Source organism: Homo sapiens, chromosome 6 (assembly GCF_000001405.40).
Source record: "Homo sapiens chromosome 6, GRCh38.p14 Primary Assembly".
Classification (NCBI taxonomy): Eukaryota; Metazoa; Chordata; class Mammalia; order Primates; family Hominidae; genus Homo; species Homo sapiens.
In genome coordinates this window covers 14,495,253-14,508,382 of record NC_000006.12, presented here as the reverse complement: position 1 = coordinate 14,508,382, position 13,130 = coordinate 14,495,253, and the positions used below count along the sequence as shown (strand labels likewise).

The 13,130-nt window shown below is 43.7% G+C and overlaps 1 long non-coding RNA gene across 5 annotated transcripts in view; it reads right to left on the bottom strand.

Annotated features, from left to right (window-relative positions):
- The window catches only part of LOC101928331 (uncharacterized), an 84,318-nt gene that overhangs the window by 7,715 nt on the left and 63,473 nt on the right, over window positions 1–13,130 (bottom strand). For 4 of the 5 annotated variants that reach the window (XR_001743994.3, XR_001743997.3, XR_001743999.3 and 1 more), the window contains exon 2: window positions 10,218–10,326. This is a non-coding gene — a long non-coding RNA (uncharacterized LOC101928331). Of the gene's footprint in view, window positions 1–10,217; window positions 10,327–13,011; window positions 13,057–13,130 lie in introns of all 5 variants that reach the window. The other variant, XR_001743996.3, reaches the window with a different exon arrangement.

Here is a 13,130-nt window from a genome sequence, read left to right as displayed (position 1 = left end):
AACAGATGATTTTATCTTTGCAACCACAGTGAACCCTGAGGGATGGGAATCAGCTGGTGGACAACTGCAACCTCAAGACACAAGGTCAGAAAGGCACAAGGTGTTCAGAAAGACCCGGGACAAGGAAACCACTTCATAGTCTTCATATCGTTGAAACTGTGGGACATAAAAATTTGAAAGGGTTTGGAGTGTGTGAGGAATGGTAAATGCAAATTGTACCTGCAGTGTATTCTCATTTAAGAACTCATAAGCACCAGTGATAGCCCATTGATTTATTATGCCATCTTTATTGTTTTTAGTTTTGAAAAAAATTTGTATAAGGGTAAAAATTGTAAAAGTTTTTATAAGTTCACCTGAGATCTTGCTGTTCAAACTCTAAACTCTATTTTCTCTGCTAAGACTTTAGTTCCAGAATGGTACATGATAATGTGTAGTTGCTGGGGAAGGAATATATGGTACACTTTTTAAATTTTTTCATGTTATTTTTATTTATTTAGAGGCAGAGTCTTGCTCTGCGGTCCAGGCTGGAGAGCAGTGGTGCAATCATAGCTCACTGCAGCTACTCCTGGGCTCAAGCAATCCTCTCACCTCAGACCCCACCCCCACCCCCACCAGTGCACACCACCATGCTGGGTTATTATTATTTTGTTTTTTGGTAGAGATGGAGTCTTGCTAGGTTGTTCAGGCTGGTCTTGATTTCCTGGCCTGAAGCAATCCTCCCACCTCAGCCTCCCAAAGTGCTGAAATTACAGGAGTGAGCCAGCACACTTCACCCAATACAGTATATTTTGAGACAAGCCCAAGATACTGTGGGGCCTGGGAGGAGTCACACGCTTGAGATAGATAGTCTTTATTCTGGTGTATGGGTCAGGACTTAAGAAACACATTCTTCATTTTTATTTCGGGATCAATGTAAAAACATCTTTCAAGCATATTGAGTACTTTAAGGGATATACTACAGTTGGCTATTAACAATACATTAGTGATGGTATCCACCTATTATGTCCTTGGAGTACTAATCCATTATTCACTCATTCACTCAACAAATAATTCCTGAGCACCTTCTATACACCAGGCACTACATCCCTAGGCATGAACAGACAAAGGCCCTGCCTGCAGGGAGTTGATAGAATGTGAAGAGCTGGGGTGACAACGGGTAGGGAGGGACTGATGGAGGCCTCAGGAAGGGCAGTGCAGGATGAGATGAAGAGGTAGGCAGAGACTGGCTCATGCCTGGGAAGGAAGCTCCTGAATGATTTCATGCTTAAAAGAGAGAGGTTCCCATTCATGTGTTTGAAAGATCACTCAGCCTGTTGTGCAAACAATAATTGTAGGCACAGGGAAGTGAGCTAGGAGGCTGCAGTGGCCCAGATAAGAGGAAAAACAGTCCAGAAACAGAGAGTTGGAATTGGGAGTCTGAGAAGTAACATAGACAGAAGAATGTGTATGCCGTCAACACGGGGGCAGGAAGAATTGCTCAGGACATAAAAGACTGCACTAAGGAAATGGGCGTACACCCAACAGGTAAAATTGAACTTGGGCCAGGAAGGCGCTCCTGACAGCAAGGACTACTTCATTCTGAAAAGGGCTACAGAAGAGAAATGGGGGCATCTTCCCAGGAGGGCGGCAGGAAAGAGACTAGAGAGCCAACCATAGGTTGAATGGCTGAGGTGTGCTTCTGCATAAAGGCAGGTGGCTAGAGTGGAAGAGCTGACATTGCTCCAGGCATTGATTCCAATCTGTGACATTTTACTGTGCACACTGGCAGAGCTCCTTCCTCTTCCTACTGCACCGTCCAATATGGTAGCCACTAGCCATATGTGGCCATTTAAATTCTAAAGTATTACATTAAATTAAAAATTCAGTACCTCAGTTACATAAGCCACATTTCAAATGCTTAATTGTCCCATGTGGCTGGTGGCTACCTCATCCGTTAGTGCAGCTGTAGCACACTTCCATTGTCACAGAAAGTCCTATCGGGCAGGGCTGCTATAGAAAGTTCTCACTCTGTTGGAGCAAACACCTCCAGGAATATTTCCGGGCAGTGCCTGCCAATCTTAGTTCCACCTTGCCGGTTCTCTGTGGCTAACCCTTTTGTCTGGGGCCGTATGCTTGCTCTCTGCCCCCTGTCTTAGGCCTCCTGTCCTACCCTCTCTTTCGTGCCCAGCTTGTCCTCACCTGGGATATAAACCCATGTCCTCTCCTCCAATTCTCCTCCAAGGCTCTGCGCCATGCACTTCAGCCTATCCACTCCTAAGCCAAGAACCAGCTCTTGGACCACCTTAGGCTCAGCCTTGGGCCCCATTTGCTAAGTGTAGCAGGCTGAAGATTCTAGAAGAGCCTGTGATCCAGGAAACAGAGAGCCCAGGCTGAGAGGAGAAATGACATGCCCGTGTTCCAGCCCCAAAGTGACCGCCCGGGTTTCTTAAGGGTGAGGGTTGATGTTTTCTTCAGAGGAAGCAGCCCAGAGGGGAAAACGGACAGGGGAGAAATGTCATTCCCTGGGCTGTAAAGAAGAAGTTAGGGCCTCAGAAGAGAAACAATAAATAAAATAAAAGGTGCAAGAATTTTATGCTTTCTCTGTACTTCAGAAAGCAGGTTTCATATATATTTCAATACCCAGTGTGCTCAAGAATGGATCAGATGTGCACGTGCCTGCAAACCCAAAACACAGCTGGTAGGCCTAATTTTAGGTTCCCAAGCATTGGCACTGTCCCTCTACCCAATGAGCGCTGTCTGATCTTCCAGAGCCTGCATGTAGAGCGGGACTCAGCTGAACTCACTGACAGTCCTGTGTGTGAGCGTGACAGGCACTTTATTCTCGGCTCCTTGAGAGGGGTCAAAAGGCTATGTCCACTCAGGTGTGTCCTCCCAGGACCAGGGCAAAGGGCAGCCCTTCCCACCGGCTCACTCTGGGCCTCAAGTTGTTTTGAGCACCTCTAAAAAAGCAGTTTGAAAGGAAGTCTTGTAAGAAAAAAGATAACAATACCCAGCTCGTCTGATGGGCTGGATGGGGTCGTTCAGAAAGAGAATGTCCCTGCCTAGAACAGGTGTTCCATGGAATATTACTCCACATCTTTCTCGAATGATCAGGGAAACCAGGGTACTGGCTGATGGGAACTTCTGGAGCCATGATGCTTGGGTTAGAATCTGGTTCTGTCATTTATTGGTTATATGACTTTGGGTGAGTTACTTAACTTCTCTGTGCCTCAGTTTCCTCATCTGAAAAGTGGTGCTAATAATAGTGAATGAGGTGATGTGTATAAAGCCAGAGTAGTACCCCACACAGAGCGAGCATTTCATAATTGCTAAGGTGGGGTCAAGGGGCCTTCTGAAGTTTCACTGAAAAATCAACTTGCAAAAGACAGATTAACTGGAGAAAAGGCATACAAACGTATTTAACAGGTAAACACAGGAGCTTTCAGAATGAAGACTCAAAGATAGAGTCTGGAAAATTGTCCTTTATTGTTTTGTGAGACGGAGTCTCGCTCTGTCGCTCAGTCTGGAGTGCAGTGGCGGGATCTTCGCTCACTGCAACCTCTGCCTCCCGGGTTCAAGCAATTCTCCTGCCTCAGCCTCCCGAGTAGCTGGGACTACAGGAACGTACCACCACGCCCGGCTAATTCTTTGTATTTTTAGTAGAGACGGGGTTTCATCATGTTAGCCAGGATGGTCTCGATCTCCTGACCTTGCGATCTGCCCGCCTTGGCCTCCCAAAGTGCTGGGATTACAGGCGTGAGCCACCATGCCCGGCCAATTGTCCATTTTTATGCTTAGGTTTCACAAAGGATGGACGACCCTGTGGAAAGGTGATTGGACAAAGAGGGTATGATCTAATACTAATAGACTGAGTGGGGACACCCAGCAAGGCCTGCCTTTCTAGATTCTTCTTGGCTTCTCTGTGCACCATTTCCTCCTTCTGGGAATGGGACAGGACTCTCTCTGGAATGGCACAGGACTCTCTCTGGAATGGCAGTGGAGGTCTTATGACTGACAGTCAAACAAGGTAGATCAGATCATTTCTGAATGTCCAGTTTTTACACAGAAAGGTGGAAGGGAAATTAGAGTAATACTTTTAGGTTTCATTCCTAGCTTTGGGGAAAAGAGGTTCTGGTTTGTATGACTCCACTTGGGAAAGAGGGAATCCCAATTTCTATGACTAGTCTTGGGGGACAATAGGACTGAGAGACAGGAGGACAGGAGAAGGTCGAAGAAAAATGTTTGCTTCTGAGGATACTTCTTTTTTATTTTTTTTTGAGACAGAGTCTGGTTCAGTCGGCCAGGCTGGTGTGCAGTGGCGCAATCTCGGCTCACTGCAACCTCCGTCTCCCAGGCTCAGGCAATTCTCCTGCCTCAGTCTCCCGAGTAGCTGGGATTACAGGTGTGTGCCACTATGCCCAGCTAATTTTTATATTTTTAGGATTTCTCCATGTTGGCCAGGCTGGTCTTGAATTCCTGAGCTCATGTGATCCACCTGCCTCGGCCTCCCAAAGTGCTGGGATTACAGGCGTGAGCCACCTTGCCTGGCCCTGAGGATGCTTCTGAAGCCACTTCTGAGGTCTTCATTTTGGGGTGTTGTTTTCTGAGCCCCAACAGTAGCTATTATAATTTACTGAATATTTTGGTTTGAGGCACTTAGCATTGATAGTATCACAAGAGACAGCAAAGGGTAGTGGTTAAATGCATAAATGCTAGAGTTTGCCTTGGTTCAAAGCCCAGCTCTGTGAATTTAAGCAAGTTCGTTAAGCCCTTTGTGTCTCAGTACTTTCATTGATAAAATGAAGGTAATAATATAGGCATAATAATAGTATCTTCTCCAGGTGATCATTAGGAGGATTAAAGGAGCTAATATATGTATATAATAAACACTCAGAAGAACGCCTGGTATTACAGGGTAAGAACTTGATAACAGCTAACTGCCATTATTATTATTATTACTATTATTATTATATGGATTCTCAACTTTCACAGAGCACAGTAGTGTTCACTGAAGGTTGAAATGAGACTAAGCTTCATTTACTCTTGCTTTGAAGAATCTGAGGGAGCTGTGGGATCTTACAGGCCCCAATTCAGTTAATCAGCAAGTATTTGTAGACCGTGTACAATGTGTCCAGAACTGGTTGTTGTTGTAAATACCCAGTAGCGCTGTGTTGGCGAGTTCTTGGGTGATGAGAGTTCAGACACTGCTGCCCATGCAGAGGTCAGTCTAGTCTTCTGTGGTTTGTCTAGGCAAGGCATCGCCAATGCTACAAATATTATGGTGTCTCAAAAACATCACCAGCCTCCACACCAAGAACCCAAGAAGGAAGACTTCTGTCTCAGACCTTTGAAGATACCCCTAGTGTGATTCCAAGTGGAATCAAGGCTCAGGCTAAGGAGGCAGAATATAAGGAGGACTTGTGGCATTTCCCAGGCCTCCCTGTACTGCCCTGGGCCTTCTCTTGTCACTTGCTTCTTATAAATGGGGGAGCAATCCCGTGTGGGGTCTTTAAAGATCACCCCACATGGCCATGGGAATTATACTCGGAGAGCATATTAAGTAGATGGATGGAGGCTAGCAAAGGTCGTGAAGAGCACCCTGCCACGTGGGGCCACATTGGAGGAGTGCCAAGGGAGCTGACTCAACCAAGGTAGTGCAGAGTTGAGACAGAGAGAGAGAGAAAGAGATGAGAGAGAGAGGACTCAGACAAGCGCCTTTATTGGACTTCAGAGGGGAATCCACAAGCAAAAGGTGTGAGGGGATTGCACTGGTGGTGTTGATGTCACTAGGTCCCAGTCAGGGGAGCACAAAGTGGGGAACCTGTGGCCCGGACCAGCCTTAGCACACTGGTGCACCTGGTCACCTGGGCAAGGTGCTCACAGCCCATTTGCAGGGATGTTGAGGCATCAGAAAATTCTAAAGTTTGAATAATTGACAATATAATATCTCACCATTGCCAGCCTTCTGTGTTGCAGAGATGCCAAGAGGGAGACAGGAGACTGAAGGGGTAATGATCATGGTGCCCTCACCCTCTTGAGTCCCCCTAACTCAAAGTCATTCAGTGCCCTCGTCTCCATCTCATCCCAGGGAAGCCTCATCAGTGGCAGGTAAAGCAGTCACGAGGCAGAGGAGGCCATGAAGGGCCCTTCCTCCTTCAGCAGTCTTGCTCTTGAGCCTGGCTGAGGCTGAGAAATAAGTGTGTGTGAGTCATGATACCATCTTCAGGTTGGCCTGTAACTCTGGCTCTGTGAAGAAGTGAAGTCCAAAGGCAAGAACGTTTGTTCCTGGTCTCTGTGGGGTCATGTTGGCAACCTTGCCCCGGGGGGGCCTTCCTTCCTCTGGGAACAGCATCCACTTTGGTGAGGATCTGCAACCCGGCTCTGTCTCCTCCTCTTCAGAAGGTGGACAGGAAGAGGAGAAGGGATTCTTCTTGCTGCCCTTGTGAAAACTCAACCTCCGGGCTCACCAGGGATAGAGACCTGTAGATTCCCATTCTCTTCAGGAGTTAGGGAAAATGAGGGAATGGATTTAGGATTTCACTTTCTCCAGAGGAAAAAAAGGAAGGCCTTCTCAGAAACAGCATCCTTCTCGCTCTTTCTCGCCTTCAGTTGCTTTCAATTTAAGTCAATTAGACAGAAAATGAGCTCGCAGAACCTACAGCTGAACACACCTGGGGTTCCTATTTATCTATTTATTTATTTGCCTTCCCCCCCCCCCCTTCTCCCCCCCAGCACCTTGTTCTTGAAACTTGTCTGGTTCAGCATTTCACTGGCTTGGTTAAGTATCTTGTAAGGAAATCATTTATAATAAAGCTGGTATGCTTGGGTTTATCATTTCTAAGTGCGGGTCAGGATTTAGTTCGCTATGTTAAACTCTCCATGCTGCATGTGATTTGTCAAGCTTTGTCAGGAACAAAAAGTTCCGGGATGTGCAAAGCAGGACTGCTTGGTTTCCATGGAGATACTTCTAGTTAGGCTATGGAAATCCTGAAAAGGCCAGAGGATGAGTGACAATACAAGGATTTAGCGGCTGATCTGAAGAGCCAGACTGAATTAATGAGATTTTTCACAGAGCGTTATTAGCAAGGCTAGCACCGTATGGCTCTTAGGCCCTCGTGTTCTCAGCTGCAGTCTTGGAAAACAGAAATGGAAAGATTTAATTGCTGTTTTTTAAACCCTTTAAGATTATTTTAACCTATAACATTTTAAGGTTGTAATAAAAAATGGGGCTCTTTTTTTCATCACTCAGTTACTGTTATTACTGTGTTTTTGGTGGCAGTTGCCCTCCATGTGCATGGAGATGGGAAATTCAATAGTACTTATTATATTGAGCAGTTAATTCCCACATACTGTGAACACATTACTCTTCAAAGTAGGTTATCTGGCATTCCATTTAGAGCTGAGGGAGAGATACCATGTTGCTGGCTTTATGTCTCCTAGGGCTATATTAATTATTTATTATAGACTGCTGATGTCAACCGTTAACTCAGGCGGGTCAGAGTTTGTACATATATCTAACCAATGTCTGGCTTTTTGGAGTTTGGATGTGGATTTCTGGAAACTAGCAATCTGTGTGTTTTGTGAGTTTAATTCCATGTGCTACCACTGCTGCCGTTAACACCAAAAGGAAAGGAGCTAAGGAGTCTTCTCGGCTATCTTCAGGTAGCAGTTGCCTCCAAAGTTTGGGAGACACACTGTCAGAGGCCTCCTTCTTCTCCCCCGCTCCCAGCCAGCCCACTTTTTTTTTGGTTTGGGCATGAGTCTCGCTTTGTCACTCAAGCAGAGCATGGAGGCACGATCTTGGCTCACTGTAACTTCCGCCTCCCGTGCTCAAGTGATTCTCCTGCCTCAGCCTCCCGAGTAGCTGGGACTACAGGTGCGCATCACCATGCCCGGCGAATTTTTGTAATGTTTTTTTTTTTTTGTAGAGAAGGGGTTTCACCATGTTGACCAGGCTGGTCTCGAACTCCTGGCCTCAAGAGATCCGCCCGCCTAGGCCTCCCAAAGTGCTGGCATTACAGGCGTGAGCCACTGCACCCAGCCTCTTCTCCCTTTCTTTGCAAGGATTAATACCAGAACTCCTAATTCCAGTTCTTTTTTTATTCCCCACAACCGTAGTGAACCCAGCTCTGAGCTTAGAAATTATGGGTGCGATTAGCTGGGTTGCCTTTTCATTTCCCACACGTTCCCTGCGCAAGCTCTCCATAAAATGTCACTATCTGCCACCTCCTGAAACGAGACGTGTGGTGTAGGGGAAGCAGCTCGCCAGGCGCTGCTCTTGCTTGCTGGTTTGCAGAAGGGCACATGCCCATATGTTTCTGGGAGATGTAAAACTATCGTGTTGCTGCTGAGCAATCCACAACAAAAGCACATGCTGCCTGCATTCCCCGGATTCCTGTACAGTAGACTAATCCATTTAATCTCACTGTTAGCTTCCCCGGGCGGGAATTTCACAGTCTCTTTTGATTTAGTGGTTTGTAAAATCTCTGATTAAGTGCCTCTGCCCTCCTGTTATTGTCTCTCTATTCCCTAAATGATTTTGTGGGGAAGAAACCAGTGGAGTTGAAACAAGGGTCAACACACCCTCATCCTTACCTACTTGGTTTTTCTTTATCATTCTTAATTTTTTTAGTTTTATGCACTTTTTTCCCCCTTGACTCTGCTGACATGTGACAGCATTTTGCTTCTTAAATTATAAAATATGCCCTCTACTTTGCCAATTCTTGCTGGGTCCTCCCAGCTGTGTTGATCCCAAGTTTATCTCTTGGCATCTAAGGATCCACTACTCTGTTTGTCTTTAGAAGGGTGGTGATGCGAGCAAAGGTGATGGAAACGACAGACCTGACCTTGAGACCTAGTTCTGTCATTTGCTAGCTGTGTGATTGTGGGCAAGTTGCTTCACCTCTCTGGTCCTAATTTCCTCATTAAAAGTGAACATTAAATGCTATAGCATATAGAAAGTTCCTAAGTGGGCCAGGTGTGGTGGCTTACGCCTGTAATTCCAGCGCTTTGTAAGGCCAAGGTGGGAGGATCACATGAGCCCAGGAGTTTGAGACCAGACTGTGCAACATAGGGAGACCTCATCTCTCCAAAAAATAAAAATAAATTAGCCAGGCATGGTGGTGTGTGCCTGTAGTCCTAGCTCCTCTGGAGGCTGAGGCAGGAGGATCGCTTGAGTCTGCTAGGTCAAGGCTGCAGTGAGCTATGATCATACCACTGCACTCTAGCCTGGGCAACAGAGCAAGATCCTGTCTCTAAAAAATAAATAAAATTAAATTTAAAAAAAGTGCCTACATGCCTGCATATAGTAGATACTCAACAAATTATGATAATAATAGCTATCATTCCTACAAGTGTATGTGTTGTGCACAGCAGTGATTTGACTTGGGGCATTTTACTAAGTCCTTTGATGTGTGTTTTCCTGATGTCTCTGCTTAGATTAAGCTTCTTGAAGTTAAGAGCCCAAGTTTTCTATTTATTTTGTAACTGTTCCCTGCATTTACTTTGTGCTATTTTCCTGCCTGATTCTCTGCCTCTTAAAAATGCCTATCATCATGATAGCAATGCCCAAACTAACTCCAGCTCTACAAATAAAGCTTACACCCTCTCATCAGAGTGTAGCAGGTACGAATTGCACTCTAGAATTTGGAAGTAGGAAACATGGCAGTTCATTATTTAAAAAAAAAAAAATGAAATTACATGTGGCTCCGAGCTCCCACTATGGAAGTGGGAAGGAAGGGAGGAAGGAAGGAAGAAAGGAAAGAAGGAAGGAAGGAAGGAAGGAAGGAAGGAAGGAAGGAAGGAAGGAAGGAAGGAAGGAAGGAAATACCTGGAGGTATTTTCAGTTGTTGGCAGTGACTTTTTTTTTTTGACAGTCTTACTCTGTCACCCAGGCTGGAGTGCAGTGGCGTGATCTCGGCTCACTGCAACCTCCACCTCCCAGGTTCAAGCAATTTTCCTGCCTCAGCCTCCCGAGTAGCTGGGACTACAGGTGTATGCCACCATGCCAAGGGTAATTTTTTGCATTTTTAGTAGAGACCAGGTTTCACTGTGTTAGCCAGGATGGTCTTGATCTCCTGACCTCGTGATCCACCCGCCTCGGCCTCCTAAAGTACTGGGATTACAGGGGCAGTGACTTTTTAATTTACCATATGTGTCACTTGCTCCCATACTATCTCTGTACTCGGATTATTGTCCTCTAGTGGGCTGTTTCCTTCCTTTTAGTCCCTCATACCTACCATGCTTGCACCAGTGTCTCAGACCAATTATGGCAGCCAGTCCATTAACTGGATCCCTCCAAAGGTATCCCAAGACTCCACTTCCTCATTCAGTACCTCTGCTCCAGCACTAGATTGAGAAGGAAAGAAAAATTAGTATTTATTGATCATTTCCTATATAACACATTTAAATGTGTTGCCTAGTTTAGAACCAGGCTGTAATCCCAGCTCTTCCATTCCAAGCTGCATGACCTCAGGTAAGACACTTACCCTCTGCAAGATTCACCTCACCTCACCTGTAGAAAGAAGATGCTCCAAAAAAAAAAAAAAAAAAAAAAAATCAATTAAAAAAAAGATTCTTTGGTACTATTAAGCTTTGGCCCTTATCTTTATCCGCTCCTAACAACCTAATTTTCTGACTCTGTAATTTTATTTTTTCCATTTTTTTCTTCTCTGCTAGACAAGAAATAAATGGAAAGCCAATCTTCAGATAAACTAATCAGTGCTAATGGATGTTAATGATTTAAGGGGTTTACCTCTCAAAGGGATTTGAATTTTAATAGGTAAATTCCATTTCTTAGTTCAAAAAATATCGAGTGTCCAGTGCCTGTCAGATTAACTTTAACCTAAAATTTCCCAAAATGTGCACCATGAAAAAGAGTTCCCCAGTCAACTAAATTTTTAAAATACAATGCACCAACTTCTGCTTCTGCCCAAGGTGAGATAAAAGGGCGTGAATTTATCCTCCTTTCCGAAACAACAATAGAAAAACATACAAAATATATGAAAAAATGATTTTCAAGACTTCTCAGCAGGAAACAAAGGGCAGTGATTCAGACAGAGCATGAAGGGGAGTCCTAGGAGTACTCCAGCTTACTGCCTTCAGAAAACTTCCAGGCTGCAGTGCAGGGAGGGGAAACCCAGGTAGAGCAGAGGAGATGGGGCTGAGGATGTAGGAGATCACCATGGCCAGAGGTCATGGGACGGCATACAAAGGGAAAACCCTGGATGTCTGCAAAGGTTCCCCCTGTGTGCACAACAGAGTACAGACCAACACATGCATGTGAGGAAGCTACCCAAGAATGGGGCAAGAAAAAAAATCTGGAAGAATGAGAGAATAGTGCCTGACACATACACAAAGCTGAGAATAGTGACTATTCCCACCAACCAGACTGGAAAACTCAATTCATGAGGCATTTGGGTAGAATACTTAGCAATGTTGTGCCTTAGTAATGGAGAATAATTGGCCTCAGATTAAGCAGTTATGGACCTGCCTAACAAATCATAAAAGTTACAGCTGAAAGAATCAAATCATTTCCAATACATCCCAGAACAAAGCTCAAGAATAGTTATACAAGAATATTTAAACAAAAATATTCAGAGCTCAACAAGGTAAAAATCCACAATGTTTGGCATCCAAATAAAGATATCAAGCATTCAAAGAACCGTGACCTATAGTGAGGAGAATAATCAGTGAATTGAAGGCAATCCAGAACCAGCACAGAGGTTAGTTAGAACTAGCAGACAAGAACAAACCAGTTGTTAGAACTTTATTCTATATGTTCAGATAGTGAAGTAGAGATATGGAAAATATTTTAAAAGATCCAAATGAAACTTCTGGAGAAAAACTTTACTGTCTGAGATTAAATAATAAATGGGATTGATGGCAGATTAGACATAGTAGAAGAAAAAATTAGTGAACTTGAAGATGTATAGTAAGAGAAAATATCCTAAATGAAGCACAGAAAAAATAGACTCAAACAAATGATAAAAGTATAAGTGAGCTGTGAAAAAACTTCATGTAGCTTAATGTGTGCATAATCAGGAAAATATTCAAAGGCATTCTGATTGAGAATTTTTCAAAATGGTTTTTCAAAACAGGATCAATACCAAACAAAAATACTAGAATAGCATGGTAAAACTGCAAAAATCAAAGACAAAGGTAAAATCTTAAAAGCAGCCAGAGAAAGACACATTATATTTATGAGAACAATAATAACATAGACAATAGAAATAGAAGCCAGACACACCTGTAATCTCAGCACGTTAGGTGGCTGAGGTGGATGGATCACTTGAGGCCAGGAGTTGGAGACCAACACGGCCAACATGGCAAAACTCCATCTCTACTAAAAATACAAAAATTAGCTGGGTGTGGTGGTGGGCCCCTGTATTCCCACCTACTCAGGAGGCTGAGGCAGGAGAATCACTTGAGCCTGGGAGGTGGAGGTTGCAGTGAGCCAAGAGACCATGCCACTGTACTCCAGCCTGGGTGACAGAGCGAGACTCTGTCTCAAAAAACAGACAAACAAACAAAACAACTCGTGTTATGTGACTAAAATAATGCCAAGATGGGAATTTTTTGTTTTAAATGCATATATGGAAAAAGAAGAAAAGTTGAGATTAAGCATCTATTTCAAGAAACTAGAGGAAAAAATTTAAAGAAAATTGAAGGAATGTAATAATAAAGTTAAGAGCAGAAATCAATGAAATGAAAAACAAAAATAGACAAAATCAACAGAACAAAAAGTTGTTTAAAAGATTGATAAACTTTTTTAAAAAAGATTGATAAAGTTGACAAACTCTAACAAGCCTGATCAAGAACAAAAAAATAAAACACACAAATTCTCAATATGAAGAATGAAAAATGGGAAGTCACTACAGTTTCAACAAATATTTAAAATAAGTTGTGGAGAAATTTAGAAGTAGAAAAGTTCTTTGAAAAATACAACTTACAAAATGAACACAAGGAGAGATAGAAAAACATAAGCAATCTTATTTCTCCTAAAGAAATTGAATTTAAAATGAAAAACCTCACTTCAAAGATAAATCCAGGTCCAGTTAAGTTCAACATGAAGTCATCCTTTTAAGAAAGAAATAACACCAATTAACCTGAAATATGGAGAAAACATTTTCTATCTTATTTCATGAGGCTAG